Here is an 18,623-nt window from a genome sequence, read left to right on the forward strand (position 1 = left end):
GAGAATTGAGTGGCACAAAAAATCAAACATACAAATGAGAATGACAACCGTTAATCACCTTCTGAGAGCTGCCATGAGCACTCTGCTCAGCCGTTCCTGGCGTCAGGGTCTTGCTTCATTGATTTTAGTTAGCAGGGTTTGCAGCCTCTCTAAGGCACACCCAGACATATTTTCAAGGTAGGATGGGTCAAATAGTGTTACCCCGACTTTTTACACTGGGGATTAGAGGAATCCATTCATTTTGGTGCTTTAGCACACAACATCACTGTGGATGACAGCATGAGTCTGGCAGGCTCTTAATCATGAATAAGAACACTTTCTCACTCATGGAACATGTGTGATTAGACTTGCCCCTGAGTCATATGAAGGAATTGGGAGAGCAAAAGAGAAATTAAAGAATAAAGCTAGAGATTACCTCCCAGCCTCTCTTTAGTCAATAATAAAAAAGATTCAAGAAAATACAAATTTAAAGTGTTGATTAAATTAAAAACCAAAGTAAATAAGATTTGGAAACCTTCATGCAGTCTTTTTCTGTTGTTTTGTTGGTAACAGAGAGACATCACCACTGCTATCCACTGGAGATGGCATAAGCTTTGTCTCCCAAATGTAACCAAGGTGGCTTACCTTGTGCTGATATAAAGAGAAGAAAGGAGGACATAATCCAAGAAAGATACTGCCTAATTAAAACTTTACTCACCCCACATTTAATCTCCAACTCTTCCTCTGTACATAAAATAAGGATTTTTATCTACCTTCAGTATGACAAACAGATGAATTGCCCATTTAATGCTTAGAAAGATTATAATATACTTAAAGATAGATAAAATACAATAACGTACCATTTGAGGCCAAATGGAAACACTATTTTAAATCAGAATTCTAACAGTAACTTTACAAATCCTTATTCCCAGTTTTAACTCAATCAAATTGCACAACTTTACTTACAAGCAATCCACTCAAAGACTTAAAATAATAAAAACTATCTCCCTATTGAGATAAATCAACCAAAAAACAATTGAAATTTTACCTGAAGATAAAATATAAATATTCAATCTTATAAATTATTTAATTAGTGGCCCTAGAACGCAAAAGTAACATGAAAGTTATTAATAATTTTCAAAACTCAATAAACCATTTTCGTCAGTCTAATTATTGCTTATAAAAATGCACAACAGGGACCCTCTCAGGTCTCATCAGCCAAAGATCAATAACAACATTAAAGTCCAGTCTAAGTATTAGAACCAATTCTCTTTGTTAATAACTTATAGTGGTTACATGCTGCATTTTCTCCTAACATCTCTGTGCACTCATGAATAATTATTACATACCTAGATTATAGAATTGAAAAGTGGTTTTTTAAAAATATTTCATTTCTCCAGATAGAAAACTGACAATATATTTTAAAATCAGAAATGTATCCCAAAATGCATTTTGTAATGTAAAAAGCAGGCAATGTGGTTATACCTTAGCTGGTTCCTTTGCAAATAGATTAAAATATTTTGCCAATGTGATTTTGACATTACATCACATAAAACATCCAGTCATATGCATGATAATGAAAAGACAAATTATTCATGGAACAAAGGATATTTAAGGATCCATAACAGCACGTTTCCTCCCCAAGTAAACTCTTAAGAGGATAAGTCATATCCTATTCTGAAACAAGTGAAGATCACACTTGGTTTATGTAAATTTTAGTTTACAGAGAAAATGTTGAGTTCAAGACAGTTTTCAACAGTTAGCAGTGTCTTCCTATATGTTAATCAGATTCATATGAAAATGTTAAAACTAAGTATTAAAATTAATGTCATGCTATCTATTTCTAATTAAAATAAATGTTCTTAATTCCTCCTTGGAGAAAGTAGGACATTATCATGCAATCACACACATTTATGATTTCTAAAGGTCACAGTGGTAGATCTGAGACTAGATGAACAGAGAGAAATACTGGAAGCAGTTTTACCCAAGATTTATATATTCAGACTCAGAAACCTCTGGAATCTCACAGGGACTCGAGGAATCCTCTACTGCAGCCTGTCCTGTGGCAATGAGGTTGCTGTATCCTAATGAAGAGGCTAAACTCAGCCAGTACCATGACTCCACACAACTGCTTGGTGCATTAGACACCAGACAGCCAAATCCCAGAGAAGAAACAGAGCATCATGAGACACGCATGGAGCCATGGGACACGCATGGAACTGTGGGACACGCGTGGAGCCATGCGGCATGCAAGGAGATGTGGACGTGCATGGAACCATGGGATATGTGTGGAACCATGGGACACACATGGAGCCATGGGACATACATACATGGAGTTGTGAACATGCCTAGAACTGTGGACACACATGGAGGGATGGGATATGCATGGATACATGGACACACATAAAGACATGGATATGCCTGGAGCTGTGGGACACACATGGAACCATAGACAAGCATGGAGCCATGAGACATGCATGTAGCTGTGGGAGACACATAGTGCCATGGCACATGCATGGAGCCATGAGACACACATGCATGGAGCCATGTCACACACGTGCAGCCATGGGAGGCACTTAGATGGCACATAGAGGGAGACATGGATATGCATAGAGCCATGAGACACACATGCACGGAGCCATGTCACACACATGGACCTGTGGACACACATGGAGCCTAGCACAGAAACATCTCCTTCACTCATCCAGCATGCCTTCATTTTCTGAGAGGTTACAGTTTGTTGTACCTTGACACTGTCCGTGTTACGCCTTCTCCAGCCGCAGGAGGAGCAGGTGGCAGGCTGAGCAATGCCAGTGGCCCACAAGACAGCACGGGGTCAAGGGAAGAGTGACAGGAGGCCAGAAAACAGGCAAGAAGGGCAGTTATGATGACAACATGTAATATGCACATGGCCACATTAGAGAAGGGCAGAAAGAGCTTCTTAGACTAGGAGAGGGGCTGGGGGCACAGTGAGTGAATACGAGAAAGAGCCAACTCAGAGTTACAAAACATGTCAGATATTCTTCCTGTCAAAATTTAACAAAGCAATGCATGCAACACACACATAAATATAATGTAATATAATGATATGTTTTGAAAGGAAAATATAGGATCCATGAAAAATAATCATTCATACTGTGATATGGGAATAAAACCCAAGTTTAAAATCCTAATTGGTCACTTTCAGTCACTGTTTTTTCAATCATCTAAGACTACATATGGGGATAAAGGCAGCTGTTAAAACCCAAGTTCCTTAGGGAAGCAGCAGAAAACCAAGTGCAACCCCCTAGCCCAGTCCCGGTGATGGCCCAAGCTGGAGCAGTCATCTCAATTCCCTCCATGCCCTTCCCAAGCCACTGGAGCTAAATGTTGCAAATCCTCTATCACGAGTCCATGCAGCTCTTGCTTAAGTTTCAGAACAATTCTCAGGCCAATCAATAAACCCATAAGTAGGAGGACACTCTACAGGAACATTAAGGAGTTAAAGATAAAGATCGCTGGGACCTGGGAATGGAAATCAATAGGGCCCTGCCTGATTCTGCAGGCAGGAGTAATCTTAGGCATTAATGCTAAATGCTGCCAGCTAACACCCTGAAGAAAGGCCTCCAAATCAGTCATATGAAGGACCCACGCAAAGTACAGCATGACTCACATCACTGGTGGTCTTTCTTTGTGAATAATGTGAAATTGCTTCCCACAAACCAATTCCTATAACAGGAGCATGCTCTCTAAATAGCCAGCATACTGAGTAAACTTTAATCAATAAACAAACAAAAGCAGAATATGGCACATTGCCTTAAGTAGACATTAAACATTTAAAACTAATTTCAGAGATGGTTTTGAGACTCAGTAAGCATGCTGAGAAACATGCTGTCTTGAAGGGTCACTATTTTTCCCCTCTTTATTGGAATAGACATTTAAACAAATGACAAGGACATATGTGTGAACGGTGCATCTGTAATGGGTCAGGGTGTTTTAGCAGCCACTGCACAATCAGGGCTAAATATTCCAGAACACAGAGTCAGGCAAGTAACCTTGCAAACATAGCAAGCTGTTAAAGCGTGTTATGCAATGAACTCCACTAGACAGGAGGAGCCTGCAGTGGCAAATATTTCACAGAGGCTGGAAAAAAAAAAAGATTCTACCAGCATCTTCTGCCTAGCCAGGTAAATCAGATCAAGACTCTGACAGAACATGCTAAGTTGCATGAAGACGTTCCGTTACCATCCAGTCCTTCATCAGTAGCATCCTATGCAGAATGCCTCCAGTGCATAATACTATCTGCATGGAAATCAGGATTTTAAGTCAAGATTATCCGGTTCTCCCTTTATTTCCCCTTAGTCAGTGTTTCATCCTACTTTCTCAAAGTTTCTTGGAATGGTGCCTTACAAAAAAGCGTTCACGGGGAGTCGCAGAGACCACTTGTTCAGCTGTAACATGAGCCATTTCAAGGCCTGACTGGGTGCATAACATCACAAGACATCGTGTGTGTGTGTGTGTGTGTGTGTGTGTGTGTGTGACAGAGAGAGAGAAAAATAGTTTTATTCCCTCCTCAGAGAAGCACTTCCTTTCTAAGGCCCTGTACTCTTGGCCTGGGGCCTGCCTACCCCTCTTCAGCCAAGACAGAGATCTTCAGGAACTCCTTCCTCTCCCGCACCCACCCCCACCCACAAGCTTTCCTGCATCCTGGGTGCTTTGGCCTCCTGCCCTCCAGGCTCACTGGAGGTGGAGTTGGCTTCCTATAACTTTACTGGGCACCTGTTCCCAGTTGCTGTGCCCTCCTACAGCACCGGGGTCTCTGCTTAAACAATCATCTCCCCTCTCTTCTCTCTCTTTAGCCTCTTCCTTCACCTCATTCCTTCCCATCGCCATTTGAGGATGGTTAAGTCATGCTCTTTGAAAAGCTGTTCCCTGCCCCTTATGTCCTTGCATGACTGACATGAATTCTCTCCTTTTATATCTATCATCTAGTCCCTAACCTTTGATATATCCCCACACATATCACCATCTGGTTTCTTCCCCCAACCCTGCACTGAAACTGCTCCGATAAATGCTGCCTTTTATGTGTCCTCCCAAAAGATATACTGAAGTCCTAACCACAGGTACCTCTGAATGTGACCGTATTTGGAAACGGCACCTTTGCAGACAAATTGTTTAAGATGAGGTCGTACTGGATTAAGGTTAGCCCTAAGTTCAACATGACTTATGTCCTTATAAAAAGAGAAGACAAAAAGGCAGGGACACAGAGGGAGGATACCATGAGACTACAGACTAAGAGACTGGAGTGATGTGTCCATGAGCAAAGGAATGCCAAACATTGCTGACAATCATGAGAAGCTAGGAGGAAGCAGAGATCGGTTCTTCTCTAGAGACTTCAGAGAGAACACAGACCTGCAAACACCGTAATTTTGGACTTCTGGCCTCCAGAACTGTAAGAAGAGACAATTAGGTTGTTTTAAGCCATCTAGTGTGCAGTAATTTGTTACAGCAGCCCTAAGCAGCTAATACAGTACTGCTGACAGAATTTCTCAGAAAGTGACGAATTGTCCTGGCTTTCCCAGAACAGAAGCAACCAGGAAAGTCCCAGGAAGACCAGGACAAGTGTGTCACTCTTCCTTCTGGCATACACCTGCCTTGAACACTCTGCAGTATCTGACGCTCTGCTGGACATAGCCTTCTTGAAAATATCCCCATTCTTGGTTCTCAGAAAGGCTTGCCCTCAACTAGATAATTCCATCTGGTGGCTCACAGGAACTCAGCCTTTTCCATCTAAAATCACCACACCCCTCTTATCTGCTTTCTCTTCTTGATTCTATATGGAATCAACAGCCAAGAATGTGGGGATTGCAGTCAGGGCTTCCTTCTCATTCCTGCTCTACATCTACTGAATCCTCAACCACACTCCTTTCCAATTTCCAGAATCTACTTCTTCTCTACATTTCTGCCTCCCTTCCCTTAATGCAGTTCCTCCTCCCTTTGGTCTCAGTAGCAGCCTCAGAATGGGCTGTCCCTGCCGGCATTTTGTCATCCTCCAGATAAAGGATAAACTTATTCAGATGACTTCCAATGCCAGGCACCTCCGAATCCCCACTTGCCATGTGAGCCTCATGCCCTCCACCTCCTCCTCCATATCGTAAAATAAGATGTCCTGACTTCCTGTGCGTGAGGCTTGCCAGGACCCGCAATGCTCCCTCTCTCACTTCAGGGCTTATCACTTGCTCTTTTCCTCTCCCTGGAAACCTCTCCTTTCATAAGTTTTGTAAACACCTTCTAACAATCACTTGGGATGCAGTTCTGGCATGGCTTCATCCTAGAAACCTTTTTCAACCACCGTCCTACAGCCCAGGATGTGGGCTTAGAGCCCCTCTCCTAGGCTCTGCAGCACCCAACACAGGCACCTGTTAGGACCCTTCACAGAATATTACGCAATGGCCCTTTTGGTTCACATTCCTAAAAATAGTCTAAACCCTTTTAACAGGAACTGAGCATCTTCTTGATCTCCTCAATATCTAGTAAAAACCCTGTACACAACAGGCTTCTCTTAAATGTTCATTGAAGGTTCACTCCGAATTAAAAACATGCAAATAAAAATACACTGAGATGCCATTTATGCACTGAGTTTGGTCCAAATCCCAAAGCCTGACGGTGTACTCTGCAGGAAAGGCGGCAGAGAAATAGGTATTCATATCCAGGGCAACTAGAATGCAAAGTGGTGCAACCTCTATGAAAGAGAATTGGGCAACATTTACAAAACGACATATGCATTCACCCTTTGGCCCAGAAATCCCAATTCGAATAATCTCTTTCAACGGTACACTTGCAAAAATATTACATAATGTTTACAGGAGGCATTACTCACTGAAACACTATCCATGGTCACAAATGGCAGAAAATAACCTAAGCATCTCTCAGTAAGGTGTTTTTGATTAGGTTAGGGCTCATCACATAGTGGAAGCTATGTAGCTACCGAAAAAAAAAAAAAAAAGAATGACATCAATCTCTACACTCTTCTAGAGAGTAGGCTCCAGCATATATCATTAGGTTAAAATAATGTTACACAGAAACAAGTCTATATAATTGCCACCTTTCATCTAAGGAAAGAGAACATAAATATATATTTGTATGTGTGTGTGTTGCTTTGCTTCTATTACAAAAGTAGCCTAACCCATAAAATATAGGTAAATAGCTAAATGCAGAAAGAGCTCTGGAATAGGATCAAGAAAACAGGAAGCAAAGCTAGATTCCTTTGAACACCTTTTGCTTCAATAATTAAACAAATGATAGTAACTGGGTCTTGGGTTGGTGCCATAACCACGCAGAAAGAAATTATTTCTACTGGTTTTAAAGCAGTAATTTTGCTAATTTCACTAAAATTTTCCAGTGAAATATATACGCGAGGACAAAAAAAAAAGAGAGAGAAAAAAGTCATTTTAAAGATTTTTCAATAATCCAAAACAACTAGGTTTGCATGAAGCTGTTATTCTAAAATGACTGTGTACTAAAGAAAAAAGGCAAAGAAATAATTAGGTTGGTCAGCAGAGACTTGAGATTTTGTGCAAGGAAGAAATAGACACTAAGATGGGAAAGGTTAACAAAGACCCTAGAGTCCTGGAGATGAGTTGGGAGTATCAGGAGAAGTTTATGGTATGTTTTAAAAATGCTTTTGTTAGCACTGTCCACTGAGAAGACCTGTGGGCACCTTTGGTGCTCAAAGCATACAGAAATGAGTGATTCCCAGGTCTGTGGAAGGAAATAAGTAAAAGGAATAGGAACATCTTGTCAACCCAGAGAGTAAAGAAGCTCTCAAAGATGACTTGGATGGAGTCAGAAGAGTCCAGAAGCTGCTCTCAAGAGGCTACACTGGGCTTAAAATGCTATAATTTCACCATGTACAAGGATGTAAACTACATGGATTAAAATACATCAAATATGTTGAAATTCATGTATTAATAATAATTATAATAATCAAAATAAGAAAAAGGCAAACATAACATCTTATTCATCCCCTTTGGATGACAAATGAATGACCTGTGGGATGTTAAAGAACCAACCTACTTGTGTATTTAAAAAAAAATAAAAGTATAAATTGATGGGGGGCGGGGAACATTTATTTTGCCTTTCCTGCATAAGGTGTACCTTCAGGATACGTAAAGAGTTGATGAAGGAAAGATAGTTTATATAGAAGTATTCTAACCATTAAATGAGCAAAATAATAAAATGAGAAAATCCCAGTTTTGTACCCACAGATGAATCAGTAGATTGAGGCTGTGATCATCAATGACTGATCATTTCCCAGCTGGATATGCTCTGCCTCCTGAAGGAAATACGCTGCACTACCCATGACACGGTCAAGACAAAAAGATCCAAACCTGGATCTCAGCAGGTGTCTTGAGATTACTAGGAATTTACAGACATCTTTGGAAAGAGGAATATTTGAAGCACACAATCAGAATGCGATGAGCAAACTCCAGACTGTGGGAAACTGTCCAGGACAAAGAACTTGGTTTCTGTAATTTGCAAAGGGTGTGAAATAAAAGTAAAATATTAAAAGAGACTCAAGAAATATACCAACCAATGGCAGTGCATGGAATTTACTTAAATCTCGATTTGACTTAACTGGCCAAAAGATGCCGAAGTATTTATGAACCCATGAAAGATCTCTCAATGCCCTCTGGGTGCTTGATGATGTCATGAAATCATTTATTATTTGTTTGTTTGTTTGCTGTGATAATGGTACTGAATTCCTTATCTTTGAGTATTATCAACTGAAATCTGATGGATAAAATTATTTGATTTTTTTTTAATTTCCTCCAAAATAATTTAATGGGTATGAGATGAAGCATGAGTGGAAATTTAGATGAAAAAGGATGGGGATGGGCCATGAATTGATAAGTGTGGGGCTGCATGCTCCTTAGACTATTCTTTCTTTTTTTGTGCTCCTTAGACTATTCTTTCTATTTCCATAGATATTTGAAAGTGTTTGATACAAAGTTTTAAAAACAACAAAATATAAAACCACTTGTTGCATGAATTACTGAAATACAATGTCTCATTCATCATATTTAGCCTGATAATATAATTCCTTGAGGACAGAGATAGAGTCTATTTTCTTTTCCACTCTGAATGCTTGAGTGCCCCGGGTGTGAAGGACCTTAAATAAATTTCAATGAATGAAAGAATAAATGAGTGGATATACAGATTAATTATTTAATCCTACCAATCCATAGAGATACTTGGGACATTAAATCAATTCTGCTGCCATGCAATGCTAGATAGAAACAAAGGGCTAGGTTTGTGGCAAGACTAAGGCTTTGCAGGGAAATGCCATAGTGAAGAATTTTAGGCTTTCCTTGGTTTTGTTGTTATTTTTATGGTCACATTTTTATCCTTTGGTTCAAACACTTAGGAGGCCCACAGTACCTGTTAAATAAAGGTGACCAGAAATAATGAGATTTTTTTACCTTGGTAATCCCTGTCTTAGATCCCTCTTGAGGTGGTAATCAGTTTCTGGATATGAAATTCTAATGATAGAGGCTTTTGTAGTTTTACCTTTATTTTAAACTGTGTCTGAAACAAGAGCCACTGGATTATACAGCATTCGTGATGCTCTATTATCTTCTATCACTAAACACAGAATGTGCATTTAGATGACGGCTTTGCAATCAGTGCGTGCTGGTTCCTTACCTTTATAGGAGATGACTGGATGCTCGGTTCTCTGGCACTGAGTCGTACCCTGGGCCTCTGGGTGGGCGAGTCTCCACAGCCCCAGGCTTGAGAACAGCCATGCTATAACACAGGTTCCCTTCATGGTGGGCAAGGGGCCTCTGACTCTGGGCACGTGTCTTCTAAACAGAAGCTCTTCTTCTCCTCATGTGTGGAAAGTGCCTAAAACACACAAAAGAGAAGAATCAGATGACTGTGAGTTCGTTTTCTGGTGGGTGGTCTTCTGGTAAAACTTCCTCACTAACTTTAAGGTTACACTTTGTGGAGATAGAGGAGAGCTTGGAGGGCTTAGAGCAGCATATTTTTCTAGTCATATCCCAGGTCGTGTGTGTGTATGAATGCATGCGTGAGTGCGTGTATCTCAATACAGACCTCTCATTCTCCCAATAATTGCATGACATAGCCCATTTGTTTTAAACGAGAAATGCTCAAGCTTAAGCTGTACTGTCGTCACACTCACTCCTAAGGAATGCAGATTAATAGTTGGGATTGGCCGGATTTCCCTTGGTCACCTGTCCTAACCCCTTGCGCAAACACAGGTCTATATGTGGAAACCCTACAAATACCTGCCCATCCCTTTTTAACATTTAAAATATTTAGTTTTAAGAAGGCCACAGCCATTGTCTTTTACTAATAAATTGATGAATATTATGCTGCCCAACTTTAAAAAATCATCACGATTTGCTAAATTCTGTATTTAGTGATGCAGGATAACCTTTTAAAATTGTAGATAATCTGCCTGCAAAATATCTGGCTAGAGATCAAGTGTGAATCAAATAAAATCTATATCGAGCACCTACTGGGTGAAATAAAAGTACTATGCTTGGAAACTTTAAAGATTATGAACAATTTAAATGATTAACAAGCATTAAAGTAATACAGGCCTGTAAAAATAACTATAATCCAAGCTGTTAGCAAACCTCAAAAAGAACAGGAGTGCTGTGGGAGTCAAGGGAGAATACGACTGCTACAGAGAAGGATCTATGACGGGTCCATGCAGGGGCTCAAATCTGAGTGTAATGCTGGAGGATAAAGAGGATTTCAACAGATGGAGGTTTCTGGAAGGACGTTCCGTCCCCAGGGAGGAGGATGAAAAGGCACATTGGAGGGGCAAGAGGAAGAGGTACGCAACATGTTTTAGGAATGGTGTGCTGTACTCGATCTAGGAAGTTTAAAGGGAAGTATTGGGAAGAGCTTACAGAGTAGGTTAAGATATGGAAGGCAAACTACACTAAGGTGTGAGGTCTTTATTTTCAGGCAACAAGCTACCATAGTACATTAATGTTAGAAGATCTTATTAATATTAATAAGACCATTATCACAATAGTGTACCTAGGAAACTAGGCAGATGAGAACATAGAAATGGAGAAGTCAGTTTGAAGCCATTACAATTGTTAAGAAGAGAAATAAATGAAGCAGTGACTTTGAGGGTTTCAATGTGAATCAAAAGGCAAACATAGTACACAATAACTGTGGGTAATGGAAACTACGGCAAATTAGAGATGGCCACAGATTCGGGCATTCCTCCCATTGAGAGCTGGATCTATGTTCTCCACCTGGAATCTGGGTTGGCTCAGTGACTGCTCTGCTCGCTCTGCTCATTTTAATACAACAGAAGTCATGTTGTGCTAGTTTCCAAGCCCAGGACCTAAAAGCCTGGCAGTTGCTACATCCTGTAGCTTAGAACACATTCTTTAAGACACTGAGACACTAGGTCAGAAGTCCAACTACCCTGAGATGGCCATGCTAGAGAGAACACATTTAGGTGCTATAGTTGATGGGTCACACATGAGCCCAACTCTCCAGCCATGAGTAAAGCTGAAACCCATTGAGTAATTTCAGTAGATACTATGAGAGCAAAAGAATCTCTCAGTTGAACCCTGCCCAGATTCCTGACCCCACAAATGCAAAATGTAATAAAAGAGTGGTTGTTATAATCTGCTACATTTGGGGAACACAGAGCAAAGAGACACAGATGGACTTAAGATAGATAATGTAAGTGACTTCAAGGATAGTGATGCCATTCATTTTAATAGGATAAACAGCAGATGGATTTTGTTTAGATGAGATTAGAATCATTTTGTGTGTGTGTGTGTGTGTGTGTGTGTGTGTGTGTGTGTGCGCGCGCGCGCACATCAAGTTTCAGACACGTGGCCAGGCATGGTGGCTCATGCCTGTAATCCTAGCACTTTGGGAGGCTGAGGCGGGTGGATCACCTGAGGTCAGGAGTTCGAGACCAACCTGGGAAATATAATGAGATTTCGTCTCTACAAAAAATAAAACTAAAAATTAGCCAGGCATAGTTGTGTGTGTCTGTAGTCTTAGCTACTTGGGTGGCTGAAGCAGGAGGATTGCATTAGTCCAGAAGCTCAAGTCTGCAGACAGCTAAGAATGTGCCACTGGATTCCTGCCTAGGCAACAGAGCAAGACTTTGTCTCTAAATAATAATAATAAATAAATGAATACATAAAAGAGAGAGGAACTGGAAGAAAATCCAGAGAAAACTGAGGGGAAAAGCTATTAGGGTCCCAGGAAAGAAAGTGAAAGAAAGGAAAGAGGCCTTCTTTAAAAAGGAGTGCTTACCACCTGAACAAATGGTGAGATTTCAAGATAAATAAAACATAGATTTGAGGGTGTATCAAATTTCACTGTCTGTATTTTTTGAGTCAAACAAATGGGGAGGAAGGAAAAGACATGATAATTGAAATTTTGAAATTGAAGAGTAGAAAAATTAAGGGTTAATTTCATGGAAGTTGGCTCAATATGAATAAACCTGACCAGAAACCTGAAGGTCCAGCTGAGTTTAGAGTCTCTCACCCACTCAATATTTACTGAGTGACAACTGCATACTCAGCTCTATGCATGTATGAATTTGCAAAGGAACCAAGAAGCATGAGGTAAGGCCTATTGCATCGATAAGCAGCAACCATGGAGTTGATATAAGGAAGCCAAGTACAGAGTCACCAGGACCAAGAACTTCAGAGCAGGCAGAAGGTTGAGGTCCTTAAGAATGGAAGGAATTCTACAACATTCCCATTGACCAAAACATTCAGGTTGGGCAGAGAAACAGGTAATGGCACTGCAAATCAAGACAAGGGAAGAGTATAGCTTCTATAGGAATAAGAGATGCTGAGCATGAAGGTGGGGATGGGCTAGGGAGGAAAACAGAGAGCCAGAGGCTCATCTGTCCGCCAGCCCACAATCCCTGCCCAAGCACAGAGCACTGTAATGGACAATGGATGAGAAAATGCTCATTGTCCCTGGATTATAACATTAAAACTATGAGTTTCACTTTTGAAAAGGAGTTACAGTGTGCAAAACTGGTGTCTGCTTTAGAACTCCAGTCCAAAGGTAACAAGATGAAGTAGCCTATCTTTTCTGAGCTTCCTGATCTGAGACTTAAGATATGAAATGTTATCAAATGATGTATTTCAAAATAAAATAGCACTTGTTAGAGGTGCTTTAGATGTGATTTCATTCTGTTAAAAGCAAGGAGGTTTGGGGCACCCATATCAGTTCGGGTAAATTATCACAGTCCCACATCAAAACAGATCAGCAATGATAAAGATAAAATGGGAAGGATGATGAAGTGGCAATCAATCCTTAATACATGCTAGCTCTGCAGTAAGCATGGTGCCAAGCACTCACACCCATGCCTGGCACCCAACAGCCACCCAGAGCCATATCAATGATAAGTCCACTGTCACAGAGCAGCAAGCCATCATGGAGATGGGTTGGAGCACTGCCCTGTCATTATCTCCAAGAATGAGTGCAAATCAACTAGGGACTAAGAGCACATTCTTTTCTTACACATAGTTTTTCAACGTGCACATCTAAGCCAACATAGATTCCCCTTCTGCTACCGATGAAGGGCATCATCCAGACCTGCTTGTGACCGCAACTGTCCTTTATTTACAATATGCCCTCCACTCTGATCTTAACAGACTTGATGTTAGAAGCCCTAACATCTTTGCCACCTGAATGAAAGGAAGAGAAAAATAACCCAAGTGTCTGAAATGCTCTTTCCTTGGGATTTGGAAAGCGACAATTAGAGAAGAGGGGAAATGACACATATAGAGAATGAGCAGCTAAAATGGAACACGTAGTTCAAGGGTGATGAGCTGAAATGACATGTTTGTCATGTTAGGAAAGAACATTTAATGAGAACAGGTAATTTTTTGAGGTTTATAATTTTCAGACTACAACATAGTACCTTTTTTCTTAAACTAAAGGTACTGTAAACTGTCATTACAGTAAGGTGACAGGAAAGGGCATTCATAGTCTTCATGCAGAGACGTGGGCTTTTTTAAGCAACTTACCATGGAAGGCTAACTCCTTGAAGAGGCTTTTACTCTAAATAGACTCAGCTCTAAATAGCAGGTCCCTCCTTCCCGGACTCAGCAGGTCCATATTCCACTGAATCATGGAGCTCTTGCCTCTCAGTGGTGTAGGAGGAACACATTCATACCAGGGCTTTTAGTGCTCACGCTCAGCACTATTGATATTTTAGTCATATAATCCCGTGTTCTGGGCTATTCTATGAAATTAGCAGCATCCCCGGCCTGTACCTACTAGAGCTAGTAACACCCCCTCCCACCACCAACTTTGCACCAACCAAAATTGTCTCTAGACAATGTCAAATTGCCCCTGGTTGAGAACCTCTGCTATAGATAGATAGATAGATAGATAGATAGATAGATAGATAGATACATAGATAGATAGATAGATAGATAGATAGATAGATAGATAGATAGATACATAGATAGATAGATAGATAGATAGATAGATAGATAGATAGATATAGATAGATAGATATAGATAGATAGATAGATAGATAGATAGATAGATAGATAGACAGACAGACAGACAGACAGACAGACAGATGCATACATACATCTGCATATGCATACATACATAGATAACTTCCCTCTTTGGAAGTTAAACAAGCTGCCATGACTTGAAAGATTATTCAAAATATGCTTATATAAAACACCAAACTAAATTTGTGTTGAGTCATTCAGGCAAAATTTCAAGATATATGAAATTCCTGTTAATTATAACTATGTGCTACATTTGGGAAATACATTATGAAGGAATTTTCAAAGGATCAAAGTTCTATCATCATTCAACCAACTCTAGAAAAATAAAAATATATTACGTGAGTTAATATGAAACAAATGAATTTGCCAATATGAAGATTTATTCTAGAAAGCCAATTTGGGAGACAACATATAAGCATTTTTGGTGCGTCTACTTCAAAACCCCTGAAACCCCTAAACTTCCTTTTATTTTCCAGATGTAGGAGGATATCTCTATAAGCTCGATCTAAATAAGTACAACTCTGTATAGAAGTGTTTGTGCAATAAATAACATTTCTCATTCACTCCCACGCTACAACTGAAACTGAATAGGCTTTGGGGACAGAAAATAACTGCTCCTTTTAGGAAAAAAAATTGCTGTCAGATAAAAAAGAAATCAAAGGAATAAAAGCTTCCATGAGGCATTTTGCTTAGGGAACAGTGTCTAACCAGTTATTAGTAAAAACAGATCCAACATAAGCTTAATGTACTTTTCAGAGGAGGCTGGGTTTCTTCTGAGCTATAGGCCTATCATAAAGATGGATATAGCCTAATCTGTTGGTATAGTCCAGAGAGTCCACAAACCCCTCCTGCGCCCATCCCCTACTTGATGGCATTAGAGACTTGCTTTGGCAAAAGGACAAAGGAGTCAGGTGAGTGAGCTGACCTAGTGAGGTGGCCTCAGAGATGTCTCAGGAAGTCCTGTCCCATGCATGCCACAGCAGGACAATCCTTAGTACCAAAAGGCTGAAGCGATTGCTGCATGTGTGTCTCTTAATTAGGAACAGTTACAGATTGTCATAATGTAAAAAAACAAAACATCCAGGATTTGCAGGAGAAGGAGTTGGAAAGCGCTTTTTTTTTTTTTTTTTTTTGAGACAGAGTCCAGTCTAGTTCTGTTGCCCAAGCTGGAGTGCAACGGCATGATCTCGGCTCACTGCAACCTCTGCCTCCCGGGTTCAAGCAATTCTCCTGCCTCAGCCTCTTGAGTAGCTGGGATTACAGGCACACACCACCACACCTGGCTAATTTTTGTTTTTTTAGTAGAGACAGGGTTTCACCATGTTGGTCAGGCTAGTCTTGAACTCATGACCTCGTGATCTGCCCACCTCAGCCTCCCAAAGTGCTGGGATTACAGGCATGAGCCATCACGCCCAGCTGGAACGTGCTTTTCAAATGTTTGTTTTTGCATTTGTTCTTTCCATTTCTTAGCCCTGTTTTAAGGGATCAGATGAACTGCTCACACAGAAACTAGAGTCGCCTTCCAGACTGAATGCAGAAATACTAAAGAATCATTCCAGCAAACAAACCAACCCCGAAGCCATGCCCTACACACCCTGACAGAGCCAAAGATGGGGTCCAGTGCATGATTGTCAGCTGCTGCCCAGTAAATAGTTCTGCGTATTGAAAAACTCAGTATTCAGCTTCTGCCTTTCAAAAAAAAATCATGCTTTTAGAGGAATAGCTGAGAATGAGCTCCTTCTTAATCTGTCTCCACTACTCACACTGCAAGACCTTCCCTGTGGTCCCTCTCACCTTGCCAGGGTCCTCAGAGGCAGCCTTGCACACTCAGTAGTCACATCTGCACCCTTGCTGATGTCATGAGCCCCTCATCTGTCTAGTCCTCCCACTGCTCCTGGTGCAGACTGTCTTCCGTGGTCACACCATGGTGGCTGACACCAGCCACAGCGGCAGCTCCTTTCCAGAAACCCAGATGGGACATTAGAGTGCCTGCCACACCACTGCTTCCACGTGAAAGGTTGCCTTGGAGAGACCCAGACCTTTTGTTTCTAAGTCTTGATTAAGTTTTGCTTCTCTCTTTTATTGTAAACAATCTACACATAGTCCCAATGCCAAGTGTATGTGCTCCAACATGCTGAATTGGCTGCCTGAATGAACCTGAGAAAACAGAGCTAGTGTCCTATGGACCATTTATAATCCACCCATCCCCTGCCACTGAGTGAGCCCATTGTGAGGTGGCTTAGGCCCTTGGTACATCTGAGACAAGAAATGAGTCAAGGACTCCCAGAATTTGGAAGGTGAACGAGGAAAGATAAATCATCTAGTCTCTCTTCCCTCTTTGTAGCTGAGAAGGCTATGGGCTCAGAGAGATTAAACAGTGCATGTGAGATCAAAGGTGCAGTGACAGGCCACATCAGGATGGGTCCTGCTACCTTCTGGCTGCTTATATTCTACAGCCCAAGCTCTCTGCTCAGGCTTCTAAAACCACATACTTATGGCCACAAGGTCACATGACCTGAATCACCCCCAGACCAGGAGCATAGCCTTGTCTCTAGTGAATATAATCAGGGATGAACCTAAGGCATGAAAACGGGCAGTGTCTTCGGGGTATCCTTAATCTGTATTAAACCAGCCATAATGAAGGATTTCTTCGGTGGACAAGGTACAGCTTTCCAAGATAGGAGCGAGGATGAAGAGGACACTAGCCCCACTACTCCCAGATCACAGCTCAGAGTAGTCAAACAAAGAAAAAGCTCTTTTTATATTTATGAAATCGAAGTAGGAATAGAAGCAAAGTCGTCAGAAACAAAGAAGGAAGAAATCCTCCTGAATGGGGGAATATAGAGACTGTCATCTTTAAAGAGGTTCAAGTAGAGCGTTCAATGAAACAGGAATAAACAATCCAGGAGAATCAAAGCCCACGGTGTGTTCAGGCCTAGAAGGAATGTATTAAATGAATCTATGCTCTTTTCTTGCTGTTGTATCAGATATTCTAGGTACAGTGTAGGAAATGGAATTAAATGAAGAATCAATAAAACAATAAACTTAAGTTAATGCAATGTTCAAGTAAACAGATTCTTCTAATCTTTTTCAAAAACGATAACTGAACATTTTATTATTTGGGAAATACAGTGAAATTAAAGGTTTCTTCTTATTACATTGAGCCCATAAGGGGAATCAGGATGTTCCACAAATATATCACATCTCTTCAATTTTTATAGTGCACTTTTAAAGAAACAAGATCTTTTTTATATTATTTTAACCCACGTGTCTCGATTGCCAAGTTTCAGCTGAAAGAAGTTTGTCATAAATGAATTAGGGAAACATCTTTAGGAATGTCTTACTGAAACACAGACCACTCTTAACTCCAGAAACACTACTCACTGCCACCTTCAGGTAACTGAAGAAGTTGGCTTTGTTACCCACAGATTTTCATCATATCTGAACTCAGAGGAGATGGAATTTTATGGCTATATAAAAGGACCTCATGATATAAAATGGAAAAAAGCAAACATTAAACTATTTTATACATTTCAATAATGGTTCGGCTCCAGTGACCTTCTTTTATATCTCCCTTCAAAGGGAATTGTTATTATACTTTTGTCTTCTTCCCCTTGTTTAGCTCCAGATCGCCTGGAGGAACGATAAAAATAAATGAAGTCCATTAGATAAAATTATTATTTACACAAAGGCAATATTAATTTTATCTGTCAGCAGGTTTTAAAACTAAGTGAAAGTTCATTCAATCTACTTCTGTGTCAGCTAAAGCAACAAAAGTCCTTTCTAAGAAAAAAAAAAAAAAGAAAAAGAAAAAAGTACTTAAATAATGGGCTTTCAAGGCAATGTAACTACCTTGGCAATTTCTAAAGAATTTACCTAGAGATGTTTCCTCAGGGCAGAAAATTCATGTGGACACACTAAAATATTCCAGTTATAGGCCGCGCGTGGTGGCTCACGCCTGTAATCCCTGCACTTTGGGAGGCCGAGGTGGGCGGATCATGAGGTCAGAAGATCAAGACCATCCTGGCTAACACAGTGAAACCCCATCTCTACTAAAAATACAAAAAATTAGCCGGGCATGGTAGCGGGCACCTGCAGTCC

At 40.6% G+C, this 18,623-nt stretch overlaps 1 protein-coding gene across 10 annotated transcripts in view; it reads right to left on the reverse strand.

Annotated features, from left to right (window-relative positions):
• SEMA5A (semaphorin 5A) overlaps nt 1-18,623 on the reverse strand; it is a 511,043-nt gene that overhangs the window by 335,127 nt on the left and 157,293 nt on the right. For 9 of the 10 annotated variants that reach the window (XM_011514158.3, NM_003966.3, XM_011514157.3 and 6 more), the window contains one exon: nt 9,664-9,864. In XM_011514158.3, the coding sequence (XP_011512460.1) occupies nt 9,664-9,787 (124 nt within the window). In that variant the 5' untranslated portion in view covers nt 9,788-9,864. Of the gene's footprint in view, nt 1-9,663; nt 9,865-18,623 lie in introns of those variants that run through there. The other variant, XM_047417867.1, reaches the window with a different exon arrangement.

This window comes from Homo sapiens, chromosome 5, assembly GCF_000001405.40.
Source record: "Homo sapiens chromosome 5, GRCh38.p14 Primary Assembly".
NCBI lineage: Eukaryota > Metazoa > Chordata > Mammalia > Primates > Hominidae > Homo > Homo sapiens.